At 37.9% G+C, this 20719-nt stretch overlaps 1 protein-coding gene across 11 annotated transcripts in view; it reads right to left on the bottom strand.

The window, feature by feature from the left end:
- Positions 1-20719, bottom strand: part of USP24 (ubiquitin specific peptidase 24) — a 149006-nt gene that overhangs the window by 43192 nt on the left and 85095 nt on the right. For 9 of the 11 annotated variants that reach the window (XR_001737080.2, XM_047416524.1, XM_017000832.2 and 6 more), the window contains 8 exons: positions 19927-20024; positions 16113-16208; positions 15770-15998; positions 14919-15078; positions 13897-14052; positions 11886-11956; positions 11046-11206; positions 635-696 (listed from right to left, as the gene is read on the bottom strand). Coding sequence is in view for 10 of the 11 variants with exons in the window: in XM_047416524.1 (XP_047272480.1) it covers positions 635-696; positions 11046-11206; positions 11886-11956; positions 13897-14052; positions 14919-15078; positions 15770-15998; positions 16113-16208; positions 19927-20024 (1033 nt within the window). In the remaining variant the exon portion in view is untranslated. Of the gene's footprint in view, positions 1-634; positions 697-11045; positions 11207-11885; positions 11957-13896; positions 14053-14918; positions 15255-15769; positions 15999-16112; positions 16209-19926; positions 20025-20719 lie in introns of those variants that run through there. The other 2 variants (XM_047416527.1, XM_017000837.2) reach the window with 2 other exon arrangements.

A 20719-nucleotide genomic window follows, 5' to 3' on the forward strand; every position in this document is an offset into this window, starting at 1 on the left:
TTTCCTCCTGGTCTTGACGTTCTTTACCAATTGCTATTTTTGTGGATCCTGATTTTTATTTTATTAATTTCCTGTAAGCTGAAGCAAATTCTTTGTGAAGAGCGGAGAATAACAAACTCATGATCTGAACTAAAATTTACACAGAGCATTCCAAAGTACATTTACATTATTTAAGGGTAAGTACAGATGATTAAAATCTCAGCACACTAACAAAAGAATTTCTAACCATGATACTTTACAACTAACACTAATGAACTGACTTCTAACACTATCAACATGCCGCAACAAAGAGTCCCTCTTTCCTTCAACAATCAACCTTTAAAATTATAACAGACTACACCGGAGAGAAAGACCCTTCACAATAGTTTCGTATCAGTGTAATTAAAATATGAGCCTTTGACAATTTAAAAAATCAACAAATGTTCTCAATTCATTAATGACTGGTTATGTAACAGAAGAAGAGCTCACTGGTACACAGGTTTATATGCTATTTTCAAGAAAACAAGGTTCAACTTCAAACAATTGTAATTGTATTTACACCTGAGATATGTAAATCATATTTAGAAATGTCCGTGTGACTTTCTCTTCTACTCTTCCCCAGCCCCTCTCCCCTACATATTAGTCATTTACTTACTTGTCAGATCATCTAATAACTGGCATCTCAAATCAAAATACTCCATACACTGAGATAACAGTCTAAAAAACAGAAAGGTTTCAGTTACTAATAAGAGGCTGATTTGAAAATAAAAAGCATTTTCCTTGTAAGAACAAATTCATAAAACAAGTGAGCAAGATAATTTTGGTAAGCATAACTACTTTTATATTAACTCAAATTCCATATTTTAGCAAGAAGCATACTGATTTTACTAATACAGATATAGTAACAGAAATAACGGTGTAAAGAGAGGGAAACACTAAATCTATCACATCTTAAAATAATATATGCACTGATTGCATACGTAATACACTCATTACATTCATTCATTCATTTACATTTCAACCAGTATCTACTAAGCACCTACAAATGCCTGGAACTGTTTTGGGAGATTAGTGAACTTAAGAAGGGAGACAAACAACAAATTAGAAATATACACATTTGTCAAGTGGTAATATGCACAAAGAAGAAAAACAGAGCAGAGTAAGAAGAGAAAGAGACAGGGAAACTATTTTACAGAGGATGATCAAAGAAGCTTTTTCTGCAATTATAGTAGTGAACAGCACAGGTTTTAGAATCAGACACAAATGGGTTTTAAACCCGGCTCCCCTACTTATAGCAGCTGGATGTCCCATGGACAACTACTTCACTTTTAACTTTTAGTTTTCTAACTTCTAAAATGCTTACTATAGTATTGGAAATAAAAAACATACGCATATACACAAACATATAGAAAAGGTTCAAGCACAAACTAATGAGGAGAATATATAATGAACCAAGAATTATGGTTATAAAAAATGACAATAAAACTGCCAAACTCATTAGGCCAGTCTGAGGATTAAAAGAAAAACATACATAAGCAGTTTAGTATGCTGTGTGGTGGTGTATAGTTGGTCCATGGTAACTGCTATTATTATTACCATACTATTTTTTTTTCCTGGTATTTAGCATGCAACTATCATCATCATACTACTGAGGGAAAATATGTACCAAACTTAGGCATTAAAAAAAGCTGTGAGACGTAATTTTTTAAATTATGCAAACATATAATTAAAGATTCACTTTGATGTGAAATTAAATAGCTCTACCTTCAACATATTTTTAAGAGATTCTTTAAGAGTATATGTTAAAACTCTCGTCTAATGCTTTCTGCTTCTTTCGTAAAACTTAGAGGAACTTAATATTAAATAAAAAACATGTACTTATATTAAGTGAACTGACTTACAACAAGTATAAGCACAATAGCTTTAACTTCTTAAAAATGGCTTAAACATTTATACTGAAGAATCATTGGTCTTTCAAATAAAAAGTTCATCTGTTTAGAAAAATTTTAACTAGGAAAAGTTGGAATTCTAAAGTAAAAAGTATACAAAGATAAAAGAAGAAATTTCTACAGCTTTTAATTCACATGTTTACTGGGGGAAGCCATTCTCTGAAATATCACTAAAGAATTATTTTTTATTACCATAAATATACAGCTGATGTCTAATTCAGCTTAAATCTTGATGGTAAACTATAACATAATTTTTAAGTTTTGGCTGAATTTTTAACATTTCTAAGTCACTCACAATGACCTCATCTCAGAAACCAAAATCTTGACTTCTTTCTTAGACATCTGGAATGTTAAAACAGAAGGTTAAATGTTTCAAAATAATATTTATGTAGAAGCCGGGATACAGGGGCCAGAAATCTCTGTATATTAGAAAGTGCATGAGAATAGAACAAGTGTTAATACACACAATTAATCCTGTAATAAAGACTTGCAAACAACAGATAAAATTATAACTATATTTGAGAAATTCTGTAGATTATACATATTATATCTAAAACAGAGGTATTAAAAAAAGTCAAGAATGGATCAAAGAAACCAGAGGGAAAATTAGAAAATATATTAAGACAAATGAAAACAAAAATACAACTTGCCAAAAATTATGGGAAATATCAAAAGAAGTGTTATGAGATGGAAATTTATAGCTATAAATGCTTACATTTATTTTGTTAATCTTTTCAAAAAACCAGCTCCTCGATTCACTGATTTTTTGAAGGGTTCTTCGTGTCTCTATCTTCTTCAGTTCTGCTCTGATCTTAGTTATTTTTTGCCTTCTGCTAGCTTTTGAATTTGTTTGCTCTTGCTTCTCTAGTTCTTTTAATTGTGATGTTAGGGTGTCAATTGTAGATCTTTCCTGCTTTCTCCTGTGGGCATTTAGTGCTATAAATTTGCCTCTAAACATTGCTTTAGCTGTGTCCCAGAGATTCTGGTACGTTGTGTCTTTGTTCTCATTGGTTTCAAATAACTTATTTATTTCTGCCTTAATTTCATTATTTACCCAGTAGTCATTCAGGAGCAGGTTGTTCAGTTTCCATGTAGTTGTGCGATTTTGAGTGAATTTCTTAATCCTGAGTTCTAATTTGATTGCACTGCGGTCTGAGAGATTGTTATGACTTCCATTCTTTTGCTGAGGAGTGTTTTACTTCCAATTATGTGGTCAATTTTAGAGTAAGTGCAATGTGGTGTTGAAAAGAATGTATATTCTGTTGATTTGGGGTGGAGAGTTCTGTAGATGTCTATTAGGTCTGCTTGGTCCAGAGCTGAGTTCAAGTCCTGAATATCCTTATTAATTTGCTGTCTCATTGATCTGTCTAATATTGACAGCGGAGTGTTAAAGTCTCCCACTATTATTGTGTGGGAGTCGAAGTCTCTTTGTAGGTCTCTAAGAACTTGCTTTATGAATCTGGGTGCTCCTGTATTTGGTGCATATATATTTAGGATAGTTAGCTCTTTTTGTTGCATTGATATCTTTACCATTGTGTAATGCCCTTCTTTGTCTTTTTTTGACCTTTGTTGGTTTAAAGTCTGTTTATCAGAGACTAGGATTGCAACCCCTGCTTTTTTTTGCTTTCCATTTGCTTGGGAAAAATTCCTAGACGGCTAGCCAGATTAATAAAGAAGAAAAGAGAGAAGAATCAAATAGAATAAAAAATGATAAAGAATACATCACCACTGATCCCACAGAAACAAAAACTACCAACAGAGAATACTATAAACACCTCTACACAAACAAACTAGAAAATCTGTAAGAAATGGATAAATTCCCAGACACACACACCCTCCCAAGACTAAACCAAGAAGAAGTCGAATCCCTGAATAGACCAATAACAAGTTCTGAAATGGAGGCAGTAATTAATAGCCTACCAACCAAAAAAGGCCCAGGACCAGATGGATTCACAGCTGAATTCTACCAGAGGTACAAAGAGGAGCTGGTACCATTCCTTCTGAAACTATTCCAAGCAACAGAAAAAGAGGGACACCTCCCTAACTCATTTTATGAGGACAGCATCTTCCTGATACCAAAACCTGGCAGAGACACAACAAAAAAAGAAAATTTCGGGCCAATATCCCTGATGACATCGATGCGAAAATCCTCAACGAAATATTGGCAAACTGATTCCAGCAGCACATCAAAAAGCTATCCACCACGATCAAGTTGGCTTCATCCCTGGGATGCAAGGCTGGTTCAACATATGCAATAAACTAGGTATTGATGGAACGTATCTCAAAATAATAAGAGCTATTTATGACAAACCCACAGCCAATATCATACTGAATGGGCAAAAGCTGGAAGCATTCCCTTTGAAAATTGGCACAAGACAAGGATGACCTCTCTCATCACTCTTATTTAACATAGTATTGGAAGTTCTGGCCAGGGCAATCAGGCAAGAGAAAGAAATAAAGGGTATTCAGATAGGAAGACAGGAAGTCAAACTGTCTCTGTTTGCAGATGACATGATTGTATATTTAGAAAACCCCATCTTCTCTCAGGCCAAAATCTCCTTAAGCAACTTCAGCAAAGTCTCAGGATACAAAATCAATGTGCAAAATCACAAACATTCCTATACACGAATAATAGACAAATCATGAGTGAACTCCCATTCACAATTACTACAAAGAGAAAAAAATACCTAGGAATACAACTTACAAGGCATGTGGAGGACTTCTTCAAGGAGAACTACAAACCACTGCTCAAGGAAATAAGAGAGGACACAAACAAATGGAAAAACATTCCATGCTCGTGCCCAGGAAGAATCAATGTTGTGAAAATGGCCACGCTGCCCAAAGTAATTTATAGATTCAACGCTATCCCCATCAAGCTACCACTGACTTTCTTCACAGAATTAGAGAAAACTACTTTAAATTTCATATGGAACCAAAACAGAACCTGTATAGCCAAGACAATCCTAAGCAAAAAGAACAAAGCTGGAGGCATCATGCTACCTGACTTCAAACTATACTACAAGGCTACAGTACCAAAACAGCATGGTACTGTACCAAAACAGATATACAGACCAATGGAACAGAACAGAAGCCTCAGAAATAATGCCACACATCTACTACAACTATCTGATCTTTGACACACCTGACAAAAACAAGCAATGGGGAAAGGATTCCCTATTTAATAAATGTTTTTGGGAAAACTGTCTAGCTATATGCTGAAAACTGAAACTGGACCCCTTCCTTACACTTTATACAAAAATTAACTCAAGATGGATTAAAGACTTAAACGTAAGACCTAAAACCATAAAAACCCTACAAGAAAACCTAGGCGATATCATTCAGGACATAGGCATGGGCAAGGACTTCATGACTAAAACACCAAAAGCAATGGCAATTATATCCCGAAATTGACAAATGGGATATAATTAAATGAAAGAGCTTCTGCACAGCAAAAGAAACTATCATCAGAGTGAACAGGCAACCTATAGAATGGGAGAAAATTTTTGCAATCTATCCATCTGACAAAGGGCTAATATCCAGATTCTAAAAAGAACTTAAACAAACTTACAAGAAAAAAACAACTCCATCGAAAAATGGGCAAAGGATATGAACAGACTTCTCAAAAGAAGACATTTATGTGGTCAAGAAACATGAAAAAAAGCTCATGATCACTGCAGAGAAATGCAAATCAAAACCGCAATGAGATACCATCTTACATGGTATCTTACATAGAATGGCGATCATTAAAAAGGAAACAAGGCCGGGCGCGGTGGCTCACGCCTGTAATCCCAGCACTTTGGGAGGCCGAGGCGGGCGAATCACGAGGTCTAAAACGGTGAAACCCCGTCTCTACTAAAAATACAAAAAATTAGCCGGGCGTAGTGGCGGGCGCCTGTAGTCCCAGCTACCTGGGAGGCTGAGGCAGGAGAATGGCATGAACCTGGGAGGCGGAGCTTGCAGTGAGCCGAGATCCCGCCACTGCACTCCAGCCTGGGCGACAGAGCGAGACTCCGCCTCAAAAAAAAAAAAAAAAAAAAAGGAAACAACAGATGCTGGAGAGGATATGGTGAAACACTTTTACACTGTTGGTGGGAGTGTAAATTAGTTCAATCATTGTGGAGACAGTGTGGCAATTCCTTAAGGATCTAGAACCAGAAATACCATTTGACCCAGCAATCCCATCACTGGATATATACCCAAAGGATTGTAAATCATTCTACTATAAAGACACATGCATGGGTATGTTTATTGTGGCACTGTTCACAATAGCAAAGACTTGGAACCAACCCAAATGCCCATCAATGATAGACTGGATAAAGAAAATGTAGCACATATACACCATGGAATACTATGTGGCCATAGAAAAGGATGAGTTCATACCCTTTGCAGGGACACAGATGAAGCTGGAAATCATCATTCTCAGCAAACTAACACAAGAACAGAAAACCAAGCACTGCATGTTCTCACTCATAAGTGGGAGTTGAATAATGAGAACACATGGACACAGGGAGGGGAACACCACACACCAGAACCTGTCGGGGGGTGGGCAGGCTAGGGGAGGGATAGCATTAAGAGAAATACCTAATGTAGATGACGGGTTGATGGATGCAGCAAACCACTATGGCACGTGTATACCTATGTAACAAACCTGCACGTTCTGCACGTGTATCCCAGAACTTAAAGTATAATTAAAAATAAATAAATAAATGCTTACATTAAAAACAAGAAAAGGATTCAATTGACAACCTAACTTTACACCTAAGGAACTAGAAAAAGAAGAACAAACCAAACTTAAAGGTAGTAAAAGGAAAGAAATAACAAAGATTAGAGTGGAAATAAATAAAATAAAGAATGGCAAAACAATACCAAAAAGAAAAAAAAAAATCAATGAAACCAAAAGTTGCCTCTTTGAATGAAAAGATGAACAAAACCAACAAACCTTTAGGTAGACTAACACAAAAAAGGGAGAAGGATCAAATTACTAAACTCAGAAATGAAAGTGGGTACATAACTACCAATTTTACAGAAATGGAAAGGATATAAGAGAGTACCGTAAGCAACTATATGCCAACAAATTAACCTAGATGAAGTAGACAAATTCCTAGCAACACAAAACCTACCACGATTGAATCAGGAAGAAACAGAAAAGGTAAATAAATCTATTTAGCAAAGAGATTCAGCAAAGAGACTGAATTGGTAATCCAAAAAAAAAAAAAGAAAAGAAAAGAAAAACAAACTCCCAACAAAGAAAAGCCCTGGACCAGATGGCTTCACTGGTGAATTCTACCAATATTTAAAGAATTACCACCAAGTCTTCTCAAGCTCTTTCAAAAAACTGAAGAGGAGGTAATACTTCCTGACTTATTCTATGACACCAGTATTACCCTGATACAAAAGCCAGAAAAAGACACCACAAGAAAACTACAGACCAATATCCCTTATGAATGCTAATGCAAAAATCTTCAACAAAATACTATCAAACCAAAGGAGTGCATTTAAAGGATTACACCCCATGAACAAGTGGGATTGACTCCTGGAATTCAAGTATGGTCCATGGTACGAAAATCTATGTAATCTCATATTAAGGGAAAGAAAGAAAAAGACCCACATGATTATCTCAATCAAAGCAGAAAAAGCATTTGATAAAATTTAACTCACTTTCATGATAAAAACACTTAACAAACTACAAATAGAAGGAAACTACCTCAACATAATAAAGCCAGATATGAAAAACTCACAGCTAACATACTCAATGCTGAATGACTGAAAGCTTTTATCCTAAGAGCAGAAACAAGGATGCCCACTTTTACCACTTCTATTCAACGTAGTATTGAAGGTTTCAGCCAGAGCAATTAGGCAAGAAAAAGAACTAAAAGACATCCAAATTGAAAAGGGAGTAAAATTATCTGTTAACAGATGACATGTTACTATATATGGAAAGCCCTAAAGTTTCTGCAAAAGAAACTGTGGCCGGGCGCGGTGGCTCACGCCTGTAATCCCAGCACTTTGGGAGGCCGAGGCGGGTGGATCATGAGGTCAGGAGATCGAGACCATCCTGGCTAACAAGGTGAAACCCCGTCTCTACTAAAAATACAAAAAATTAGCCGGGCGCGGTGGCGGGCGCCTGTAGTCCCAGCTACTCGGGAGGCTGAGGCAGGAGAATGGCGTGAACCCGGGAAGCCGGGAAGCGGAGCTTGCAGTGAGCCGAGATTGCGCCACTGCAGTCCGCAGTCCGGCCTGGGCGACAGAGCGAGACTCCGTCTCAAAAAAAAAAAAAAAAAAAAAAAAGAAACTGTTAGAACTAATAAATAAATTCAGCAAAGTTGCAGCATACAGAATCAACACAAAAATCAGTTGTGTTTCTTACACTAACAATGATCAAACTGAAAAAGAAATCAACAATTCCACTTACAATAGCATCAAAAATAATAAAATACTTAGGAACCAACTTAAGGAAACAAAAGACTTGTACAGTGAAATCTACAAACATTGCTGAAAGAAATTAAAGATGACATAATAAAAAGACATCTTGTGTTCAAGGATTGAAAGACAAAATCTTGTTAAGATGTCATTACTATTCAAAGTCACCTACAGGTTCAATGAAATCTCTATGAAAATCCCAAAGACATTTGCAAAAATAGAAAAACCCATTCTAAAATTCACATGGACTCTCCAAGTAGCCAAATCAATCCTGAAAAAGAGGAATAAGGCTGAAAGACTCATACTTCCTGATTTTAAGCTTAGTACAATACTACAGTAATCAAAACAGTCTTATACTGGTAAAAAGACAGACATACAGACCAATGCAATAGAAATATAGAACTCAAAAATATGGTCCTGATTTTCATCAAGGGCACCAAAACCATTCAATGGGGAAAGGATAGTATTTTTAAAAAGGGGCACTGGGAAAACTGGATATTCACATGGAGAAAAACGAAGTCAGACCCTTACCTTACACCATAATGCAAAACTAAACTCAAAATGGATGAAACACCTAAATGTAAGAACTAAAACTATAAAACCTTTAGAAGAAAACAGGGAAAACTTTGTGACACAGGATTTGGCCATAATTTCCTGGCTATGACAGCAAAAAACACAGGTAACTAAAGAGAAAATACATACACAGGACACCATCAAGAGAGCTAAAAGACAACCCACAGATTGGGAGAAAATATCTGCATATCATATCATCTGATAAGGGATCAATATTCAGGATATATAAAGAATTCCACAACAAATAATCCAATTTAAAAATGAGCAAAGGTCTTAAAATAGATGTTTCTCCAAAGAAGATATACGAATGGCCAACATGCACATGATGAGACGCTCAACATCAGTCATCAAGGAAATGCAAACTGAAACCACAGATGCCAATTCACATGCACTGGGATAGCTACTATCAAAAACAAAACGAAACAAAAACAAAAATCCTAGAAAACAACAAGCGTTGGCTAAGATGTGGAGAAATGAGAATCCTTGTACATTGCTGGTGGGGAAGTAAAATGGTACAGCCATTGTGGAAAACAGTATGGTGGTTCCACAAAGAAATCAAACACAGAATTACTAAATGATCTAGCAATTCCACTTCTGGGTATACACCCTAAAGAACTGAAAACAGGGATTCACACAGATATTTGCATACCCATGTTTGTAGCTGCATTCACAACGGCCAAAAGGTGGAAACACCCAAATGTTCATCTATGGATGAATGGATATACAAATATGGTTTATACATACAATGATATATAATTCAGCCCTAAAAAGGAAGGAAATTCTGATTCATGCTACAACATGAATAAACCTTAAGGACATTATGCTAAGTGAAATAAGCCAGACATATAAGGACAAATACTGTATGATTCCACTTATATGAGGTACCTAGAGTCGTCAAATCCTTAGAGACAGAAAGTAGAATGGTGGTTGCCGTGGGATGGGGGAGGGGGAACAGGGAGTTATTGTTCAATGAGTAGAGTTTCAGTTTAGGATGGCAAAAGAGTTTTGGAAATAGACAGTTGTGATGGTTGCATCACAATGTGTGCATACTTAATGTCGCGGAATTGTATACCTCATGGTAAATTTTATGTTATGTATATTTACCACAATAAAAAAAATTTGGCAATTCAAAAAAAATCTACGTGTCTTTGAACAGTCTGTTTACATTCATTGCCCCTTTTTAACTTGGCTGTTGGTCTTTTGCTTAATAATTTATAATAGTTATATATATAGATATATATATCTCAAATTAGCTTATTGTCTGTCATGTATGTTGCAGATTTTATTTTCCCAGTTTGGTGATTGACTTTTGACTTTGAGGCATTTTTTCCTATATAGAAAATTTTAATTTTTATGGAGTCAAATTTATCAGTCTTTTATTTAATGACTTCTTCATGGGCATAGTGTTTCAGTTTAGGATGATGCAAAAGTTTTGGAGAGGGACCTAATTTATAAAGCACATAAACAAGGAAAGGAAACATTGACTTCACAAATCTCCATGACACTTTATAAGCCCCACAGTAGGGGCTGTGTGGTGAAGGTGAGTTAGAAAAAGTCATATGAACTTGAGGTCAATGTGAGACCCCTACCTCCTATCCTGGGACTAGACTGAGGAGCACATGCATGCAGGCTCACTTGTTGAGGTAAGATGGGGCAGGCAGAATAGTCATCTCATGAGTTTGGACTACAAGCTCTCTTACATACTGAAGCATGTATAAAACCAAGAAGGCAAGCTAGGAGGATACCTTGGCTACCTCTAGACACGGAGCTACAAGATATCTGCACTGAAAAAGTGATGCACAAGGGGAGAGGATCAGTATAACCTTTACACAGTGACCGGGCTCCAATAATTCCAGGCTCTCACCAATCAGGTGAGCTCCTTTTTCTCTCTGGGGTAGATGAATCACATGGGGTGAAGTGAGAACTGAGGACATGGAGAAGAAGGCCTGGTAGTGTTTCTTCTAACTCTCCTATCCAAATGCCATCTTTCAGGACCCAAATTTCAGAAGAAGAAAGAAATTCTAGTCATCTCAATAATGCACTGTGGACTTCAGGGGAGCAGCACACAAATTATCATTTATCCTCTCTCTGTATAAGGTTAGCTTTTCCATTTTTATTACCTACCTCTGATTGACTCCTCTCATAATACTAGTTGGAGACCAGAGAGGCAGCTGAGCCGTGAGGATTACGCCTAGAAGAAACTGATTTGGCTTCTGCACATCTGGATGCGCTGATGTGTCTGTCTGACTAAGAGTGTACAGCTGATCACAGGCAACCCGGCGAATCTGAAATTACATGATCAGCAGCAAAGGACAGACATGAATCAACATGTTGAGACTGCTTAAAAAGTGATTTTCTTCCAAAGTCCAGCCTATTTAGTCAATCAAGTTATTGAAGGATACTAGAAAGGTATGAGTGTTTCAGATTTTAATGGTAAGGTTTTAATGGCTAATTAAAACCCACTGCGGTTTGGGAACTGATTTCCCAAATTATTCTACTATTCTACTCTACTCAATAGGTTTATAACTTAATGTAAATGAAAATAAGAAAAAAGAAAGTTTAAGTTAATCCTCAAGGTCATGTAAGAATGTCAGAACTATAATATCTAATGAAAGTTTATGGGTTGAGGTTGATCTTTCCTGATTCTGACCAACAACGTGGATGCTTAGTGCCAGCTGCCCTTGTGAGCTATGGATATCAGACACTGGTTGTAACGTTGTTATAAACAAAAATAACTTACTAACATTAGTCTCATAACTTTTGGTGGCATATGGAGGAGGTAGTAGAAGGAAAGGCAGTAGAGTCCAAATGGTTACTTTTCTTTCATGGTCTGCAGCCCCTTCGTACACTCCCTGAGAGCACTCAATGCCACTCCTGTATTCCCGACAATGTCACAGGTAGTTGAGACAGCTCACAAAACAACAGGACCAAAGGAGTTTTGTAAGTAATGTGAAAAATCCTTACCTCAGCACTTGGTGATCCGAGCAGAATATCAATGATGAAATCAGCAACACAGGGCAAGTTATAGAAAGATGCTAATAAGAAGAAATGGGGGATGTGGGTGTGTGAAACAAGTTAGGTAATGCATTTTCAAATTTTGATTAATTTCTTAAGCTCAACTTAAGCATAAGCTCTTCTCTTTTACATACAATAATTCAGGACCTTTTACAATTGCTTTCATGCCTGTCCATTTACCCCATAAAATTCTAAGTTGTTCAAGAGAAGAAACCATGTCTTATTTTTGTGCTCTATATTTTATCACAATGCCTTGCACATACCAGTTACAGAATAAATGTCTTGCCTTGATAAACTATCAATAGTTGCAAACTATAAAATATACCTTAAAATAAACTTACAAATGATAACAGATAAAAGCTTGGAGGGAAGTTATCATTTTTTCATCTTGATTTGAAAATATCTCTAAGTTAAACAATTCTAGGAAAATTAAACGAAATCAAACAGCTAAGGGTAGGATTAGTACACTTTTTAAAAGTGGAGTTGCTAAAACTTCATTTCTGAATATTTATTTATTGAGAATCTACTACACATCAGACAGTGTTTGGGGGCTGGAGATTCATCAGGGAACAAAATGAATAAAAGTCTCTGTCCTCATGGAGCTTTCAATCTAGTTGGGGAGGAGATAATGACAATAAACACAATAAATAAGTAGATTATTTTGCAAGTTATAAAATGATAAATGTTACAGGAAAAAAATAAGGTAAGGAGTCTGGGCAGTGCAGGGGCAAGAAGAGCACTGTAATTTTTTTATAGGTGGTTGGGGAATGTTTCAGTAAGCATACTGGAAAGAGGGAACAAACAGCCAGTGCAAGGGAAGGAATGTATGCTGGCTGCTGGGGGAACAGCAAGGAGCCCAGGGTGGCCGAAGCACAGTGAGTAAAGGGAAGAGTAGAAGCAAAGGCACAGGAGTATCAAGTGGTACACAGTGTCCACCCCCTTGTAAAGATTTGGCTTTTGCTTGGTGAACTGAGAAGCCACCGGAAGGCTTTCAAAGAGGAGTGATGTATTCTGACTTAAAATTTAGAAGGTCCACCCTGGTTGCTGAGTAGAGAATAAACTGCAAGGCAGAAGCAAGAAGATGAGTTAGGGCACTCTTGCTATAGTCCAAGTAGGAAGCAATGGCAGCTTGGAGGGACCAACAGTGAAAGGGGTGTTAAGGGGTAGAATCTAGAGAGGGCTTGAAGGGGGATATGCTGACAGATTAGAAGTAGGGGGTGAAAAAAAGATATCAAAGATGAAGCCAAGGTTTTTGGCCAGAGCAACCGGAAGAATAGAACTGCTTTTAAGTTGAGAAAACTCTAGGATGATATGGGCAGGATTAGAGGAGCTCAGTTCTGGAAATGAGAAGTTTGGGATGTCTATTTGATATCCAACTGGAGACATCAGGACAGTGGTACAGGCCATAGACCCAAATTTAGGTGTTGTCAACATATAGATGGAATTTAAAACTGTGAAACTGCACGAGATCACCAAGGGAATGAATGGAGATAGAGAAGAGATGATAGGACCTGAGCCCTGGGGTGCTCTCATGTTAGAGAATGATTAGTAATGGTCCCCGTTCACCAAAGCCAACAATAAAGATGAAAGAGCAAATCTTAAGTTACACAATTTTTAATACTAGAGTCATTATCAGGAATTGATATACAATTCTAATTCTGTAATTTATGAACTAGTAAATTTGGGCTCTTTGAATTCCTCAACTAGACAGCAAGCTCGTGGTGTGCAGACATACTGCTCTGGTGACAGCAACTGCGGAACCTCATATACAGAAGGTGCTCAATAAATATTTCTTCAGAATGAGCTATTTTAGCATTATTCTTAGCTACGCCACATGCCAACTTCCCGCCTTTTTCATTTTGACCAATGGGACCTTATCTAGGAAGAAATGTAAAGAATTCCCAACAGAAACTTGGCCTTTCCCTGAAAGAGATTAATCACAAACAAGCCTCCAGCATACCCAGTTGCTGGCTCCGAAGCTGTAGGCACGTAACAAGAAGAGACAAAGCCTCTCCCGCAATCAGCGAGTCTTTGGTGGATACAGACTGTTGTCGAACACAGATTCCCGCATGCAGGGCTACTGGTTCTCCTTCACTTCCAGAGCTGCAATTGCTTCCTGAAAACAGGTAAGCAGAAATTTACTGTGGATCCTACAGGAACTATGCAATATTTTAATCTTTTTACTATATGTTCCAGAATCCTCATGTGACATTAAATACTTCAAGAAAGCACTTAGGTCCAAGAAGCAAGAGAGATTTAATACTGTATTTGAAACACTCTCACTACTTTTTCTTTAAAACACATTTGCAGGCAATCAAAATGTGTTCACAAGGCAAAACTAATTTCAGGCGATAGAAGTGAAAATAGCGCAATTTTGTGGGCATGAGGGAGCCCTCCAGAGGATATCGGAAATGTTTTCTACCTTGTAACTTGATGTAGATGGGTCATATGCATACAAAAATCCTAAAAATCTCATACACTTTACTGTCTGCACTTTACTGTATATATGTCAAAATTTTAAAAACTTCCTTTATTATTGAGGTATTTCTAAAATAGAGATTGAGCAGGAAGACCAAATAAAGCTGGGAAATAAAGCTATATTTTAAAGAGGCCTAATGAAAAATAACCTGGCAAACCAAGAAAAGAACTGTTTTCCAGGACTGAATTCTAAATGAATTTGTATTATTGCCACAATGATTGGTTTCATGACACTTTTATACTCAGCTAAGCTAAAAACTGTTGATTTGGTTTCTTCACTTACTCTATGTGTTTATAAATATTTTTCTTCTTAAGTGAAATATGACATACATATAGGAACATACATAAATACTAAGTGTATACAGAGCTTGATGAATTTTTACTCATGCTCACAAGCAAGAGAAGAGGGTCTCCCATTTTTGTGACTCTGGCAAACCTACACACAGAATTCTTATGGTTATTTCTTACCCAGTGTTCTCATTACTGTCTCTTTTTAATCAGTACCTGAACTGCTGAGTCTGTTTCGAATTCCAGCAGGACACAGGGAATTACTTTCTTTAATTGGCTGGCTACTCCCAACAAGATCAAGCCGTCCTGCAGCCGCAGCCCATGACAATCTCATGAAGCAAGCCACAGTAGAAGTGAAATCACTTACTTCCATTGTCTAAAGAATGGAACAAGTATTATGAGAAAGAGCAATACTTGAACACATGCCCTGACATGTACAACCTTCTTACAGGTCTCAGTTTCATACGCCTCCTTTCCCTCCAAGGTCATCCAGAAAGATGGCCTTTCTCAAGCTGCCATCCTGCTCAAGGGCTTTCAATCTCTCTTTTTTATCTGTAAAACAGATTGATCTTCATGCTGTGGCTTCAAAATACGCTTTACCAATTTTTTCACTTTCCCCCTTTCCCACATACTATGACCTCATGACCTCCCATAAGCTCTGGTATTGTCTCTAGTTTGCACATGTGCTCCCTTTTGCTTGAACAAGTCTCCTTTCTCCAACTTTCTAAGTACTTATCTCTGTATATCTAATCCTCATCTGTTCTTCAAGGCCTAGCTCAAATGCCATCTATAACATAAAATCACCCATCACAGCCACAGGTGAAGGAAATTATTCTGCCTCCTTTGAAGACACACAGAATGCTTTGTCTTGTAGTTTTACAACACTTGATACTTTCTACCTGGAATTATAGTTATTTCTACCCTAGCGATCTCTTTTTAAGTCACCATAAATTTCTTGAAGGCAATATTCATGTCTTAATCATTTTTATATCCCCATAGCACCTCTTCCTAAACAGGACATTCTGAATAAGAGGGACTAAAATGTCTTGAATACACAAATCACTTACTTGTATTGCAACTCGAGCAGCAGGGATGATTTCCTCAACCCTAATAGAAGACCTATCAGACACGGACAACTGTCGGTAGGATGACTTTTCTGGGGTACCACATAAGGACATCTGTCTGCTTGTCTGCCGGCTGACATTTCGGAATGGGCGGGAAGAAAGTGCTTCTATACCATCTTTGGTGAGGTCTTCATCTAATAACGTGGGCATTGTTTGTCCGACAAGTAAAAATCTTAAAAAGAAACAGCTAGACTTATTCTGAGTCCATTCATACTATTTAAAAACATGATTTGCGAAGAAAAAGTCAAGTATTGCCTGGTAAGACTAATGCAATATATTTACATACCTTGCAAGCTGTAGACAGATGGAATAAACACCCTGCCTTGTTTCATAGTCTACTTCTGATGGGATGGAGTCTCTCTGCATGACATTTACAACCAAACTTCAAAAAGAAGAAAAAAAGGCAGGATATTAAAGACTTCTATTTTTTTTCATTTTAAATTTTCCATAAGTAATGTAATCAGTCATCATCAATTACTTAGTTTCTACATGATTCTGTCATAAAAAGAGCCTACATATATCTATCATAATAATTTCCTATGATACCTATAAGCTTCCTAACTATTCTCCCTGCTTCTGCTCTTGACTCTCCACCTTCCAAACCTATTTTCAAAAGACCCATCAGGGTGATCCTTAGAAAATTTAACTCAGATCATGGCACTCCTCTGCACAAAATCCTTCAATGGTTTCCTATTTCCTATGCTGAAAAACAGCAGAGTCTTCACAGTAGCCTGTAAGACCCTTCATAACTTGACCTCTGGTATCTCTGCAATGTCATGTCCCAGACCTCTGTCTCATTTGAGAATGGGAAACACTGCCTCATTCACGGTGCCCCAACCACACTGGCCTCCTGTGGCCTCTGCCGGCACCAGGCAGGTCCCCACGCATGGGTGTGCGCTGGCTGCTCCTCTGAAAAGCTTTCTCCTGGGTCTCGCTCCCTTATCTCCTTCAGGTCTTTGCTAGATGTCACCCCAGCGAAGCTTTTCCTGATCACCCTACTGAAAATCATAGCCCCCGAATCCCTGCTTCCTTCTTTATTTTTCTCTACAGCTCTCCTCACCATCTGACACATACTTTTACTTATGTTAATTGTCTCCCCCTCTAGACTGTAAGCTTCATGAGGATGTGGATTTTGGTCTAATCTACTCACTGCTCTGTTCTCATTGCTTAAGAACAATATCTGGTACATGAATTAAATGACATACACAAATAAGCCAAATGTTCAATGTCTTTATTTTGACAGCCCTGTAAATGGCTGAGTGATGTGAAAGGAGTTTGTACTAAAAACACCTCTACAGTGTGGAACACAGAATAAAGCTACACATGTGTGCCACACCTTCTACGGTACTTGGGAATCCTTTTTGCCATCATTTCCCTATTTCCCATCCCCTCGACCTCCTCAAGGTCCCTACCCAGCTTCTCTGTGCCAGACCTCCCCTCAGGAATTCCTTCAACCATCCTCTGCTCATGCTTTGAGCTGGTGTCCATGCCTACCTCACCCAGAGGAAATGGTATGCCTACTTCTTTCTAGAGAAAAGCTGCTTCCAACTGCAGTACAAGTTGACCCCATCATTTACCCATTTTTCTTTTATCTTTATTCTTTTCTCCTTCATTGGTCCCTTTTAGTTAACCTATGAAGAGTCTTCCACAAGCTAAAATCAAAACAGAAAAGCCAACTTCCCCCTCAGTTTTTTTTCTAAATTATTATACTTTAAGTTTTAGGGTATATGTGCACAATGTGCAGGTTAGTTACATATGTATATATGTGCCATGCTGGTGTGCTGCACCCATTAACTCATCATTTAGCATTAGGTATATCTCCTAATGCTATCCCTCCCCACTCCCCCAACCCCACAACAGTCCCCAGAGTGTGATGTTCCCCTTCCTGTGTCCATGTGTTCTCATTGTTCAATTCCCACCTATGGGTGAGAACATGCGGTGTTTGGTTTTTTGTCCTTGCAATAGTTTACTGAGAATGATGATTTCCAATTTCATCCATGTCCCTACAAAGGACATGAACTCATCCTTTTTTATGGCTGCAGAGTATTCCATGGTGTATATGTGCCACATTTTCTTAATCCAGTCTATCATTGTTGGACATTTGGATTGGTTCCAAGTCTTTGCTATTGTGAATAGTGCCGCAATAAACATACGTGTGCATGTGTCTTTATAGCAGCATGATTTATAGTCCTTTGGGTATATACCCAGTAAAGGGATGGCTGGGTCAAATGGTATTTCTAGTTCTAGATCCCTGAGGAATCGTCACACTGATTTCCACAGTGGTTGAACTAGTTTACAGTCCCACCAACAGTGTAAAAGTGTTCCTATTTCTCCACATCCTCTCCAGCACCTGTTGTTTCCTGACTTTTTAATAATTGCCATTCTAACTGGTGTTAGATGGTATCTCATTGTGGTTTTGATTTGCATTTCTCTGATGACCACCCTCAGTTATTTCTGTCTTCAATTTACTATCACCCCTTTTTTCTTACTCATCTGAAAGGAGAGATCTCTATGCCCTGACGCTACCTTCCTGCCTTACACTTGCCACTCAGCTCTGACAGCTGGATTATGTCCTCATGGTTTTACTCACACGCTCCCAAATCTCTCATGCCATTCTCCACTTTTCTAACAAGCACCCTATCCAATCCATACCATCTACTTCACATGACTCAGAAGGACCTTGTATACAAACAAACTTATTTCTCTTGCTTTCCTTTGTTCGTTCCATCTCTCTGTGTTTATTTCTCATACTGACTAATGACTCACCATTTCCCCACTCTACCAAGCTAGAAACCACAGGGCCATTTTATAAATGTCCCCACCCTCTACCTAGTCATAAATGTCATTCTGTCACTGCCCTTCATCTCCTCTCTGGATACTGTCAGCTCTCAGTCTACCCTTCCTCCAGTCTCTCCCACTTCCCTTCATCCTCTTCACTGCTGCCAGAGTAATTGTTTCAGGTAATTCTCGGCTTAGTAACTGCCTGTTTTTTCATGGACTACAAGACAACACTCGTATTCCCCAATGAGACCCTTCTTGACATGTTTCTCTCCTTCATCCTTTGCTTGAACACCAGGCAACTGAGGTTCCCAAGACAGGCGATGCGTCTTCATGCTCTCACTCACCCTTCCTTCCATTCCAGCTTGGAGTGCCCCTTCCCTCCTTATTTACCTAGAGGATTTCTAGGTAAATAATTTCCCAATTCCTAGCTCAACAGTCATTTTCTGTGAATAATTTCCTAACCTTATGACCCTAAGCAAATTCAACCAATGTAACCACTACTTTCTCACCCCTCCTCCTCACAAGTACTTTTTATATATGCCTCTGCTTTAATACCTTTTTTTTTTTTTTTTTTTTGAGACAGGATCTTGTTCCGTTGCCAGGGTGGAGTGCACTGGTGCTATTACTGCTCACTGCAACTTCCACCTCCCGGGCTCAAGTGATCCTCCCACCTCAGTGTCCCAAGTAGTTAGGACTACAAGTGCATGTCATCACACTCAACTATTTTTTTATTTTTATTTTTAGTAGACATGAGGTCTCACTATGTCGCCCCGTACGATCTCAAACTCTTGGGCTCAAGCAATCCTCCTGCCTCAGCCCCTGAAAGTGTTGGGATTACAGGCATGAACCACCATGCCTGCCCTGTTTTAATACTTATAATATAGTTACCTAGCTGTTTGTTATTCTTTGTTAAACCATCAGCTGCCTCTCAAAGGCAGAGATAATATCTAATTTATCTTTGCATCCCCAGCACTAATACCTTGCACAATATGGATTTACAGCGATAAAATTCACCTTATTTCAAACTGACATGAGACACAAAAGAAACAGATACAGCCTCCTGGCTTCTACTCTTCTTGAAAATTTCCCCCACTACCAGAGGGGAAAGAGACATGCTTCCATACGTTTTTCAAATAATCAGAAGTTATAAAATGATTTAAAATATTTTAAAGGACTGAAACATCATTCCTTCTTATAATAACTCTCACAATGAGTCATATGATACCTTGTAGGAATAAGCAAGACTTTGCAGGGGAAATTAACTAAAATAACTATATTCATTTTCGGCAACTCATGTAACATTACATTGAAACTCTAACCTCAAACCGCCAGCTTTGAGGAAGTTTTCACAGAAGGATTTGGCACAGCTTCTGGCCATGTCATCATCAGCTGTTGGCATGAGTTTGGAGCTTAGAACCTAGGGAACAGATAAGCACAATTATTCATCCACACATTTTCAGCAGAAATTACTCCTTTACTAAATAAAACATTCAGACAACTTGAGTTAGAATCTCTTTAAATGTTGCACACTGTTTTTCCCCCAGAAATATGTAGAAGCTGATGTTTCACGATAAAATAATCACATTTTCCCTATTCTATTTACTTTGGAAGAAAAATCTTTCCGTTCTAGAGAAAGCTGGTGTGTTCTTTTCATGAAACTGGCAAACATGAAAGTCTCAGACCCTCAGGCTTAGATAAGAACAGATAATTTCATGTGATATGCTAGATATATTCTTTAGAAAGATATACACCAAAGTTTTATAAAACAGCCCATATATTAAAAATGCAAGATGAGTTTCCCAACAATAACTCTAACTCCTATTTATTGAACATCTACAATGTATCAGGCATATGTATTTTACTTTATAGGTGAGGGAACTGAGACCTGAAAGGTTAAGTAGGTTAAGTGACTGCCCACCCAAGGTCACGTGGTTAGAATTCAAATCCAGATGTGTCTCATTCTAACACTCATGCCCTTCTATGACACCGCAATGCCTACACCTAAAGTGGAGTTCAACTGAATACTTTGGTTGGGCAGAATTTCACATAAATAACCATACTATAGCCAAGACTACAAATCTAGTTCACATTCTAGTTTTACCTAGCTGAGAG

This window comes from Homo sapiens, chromosome 1 (assembly GCF_000001405.40).
Source record: "Homo sapiens chromosome 1, GRCh38.p14 Primary Assembly".
Lineage (NCBI taxonomy): Eukaryota > Metazoa > Chordata > Mammalia > Primates > Hominidae > Homo > Homo sapiens.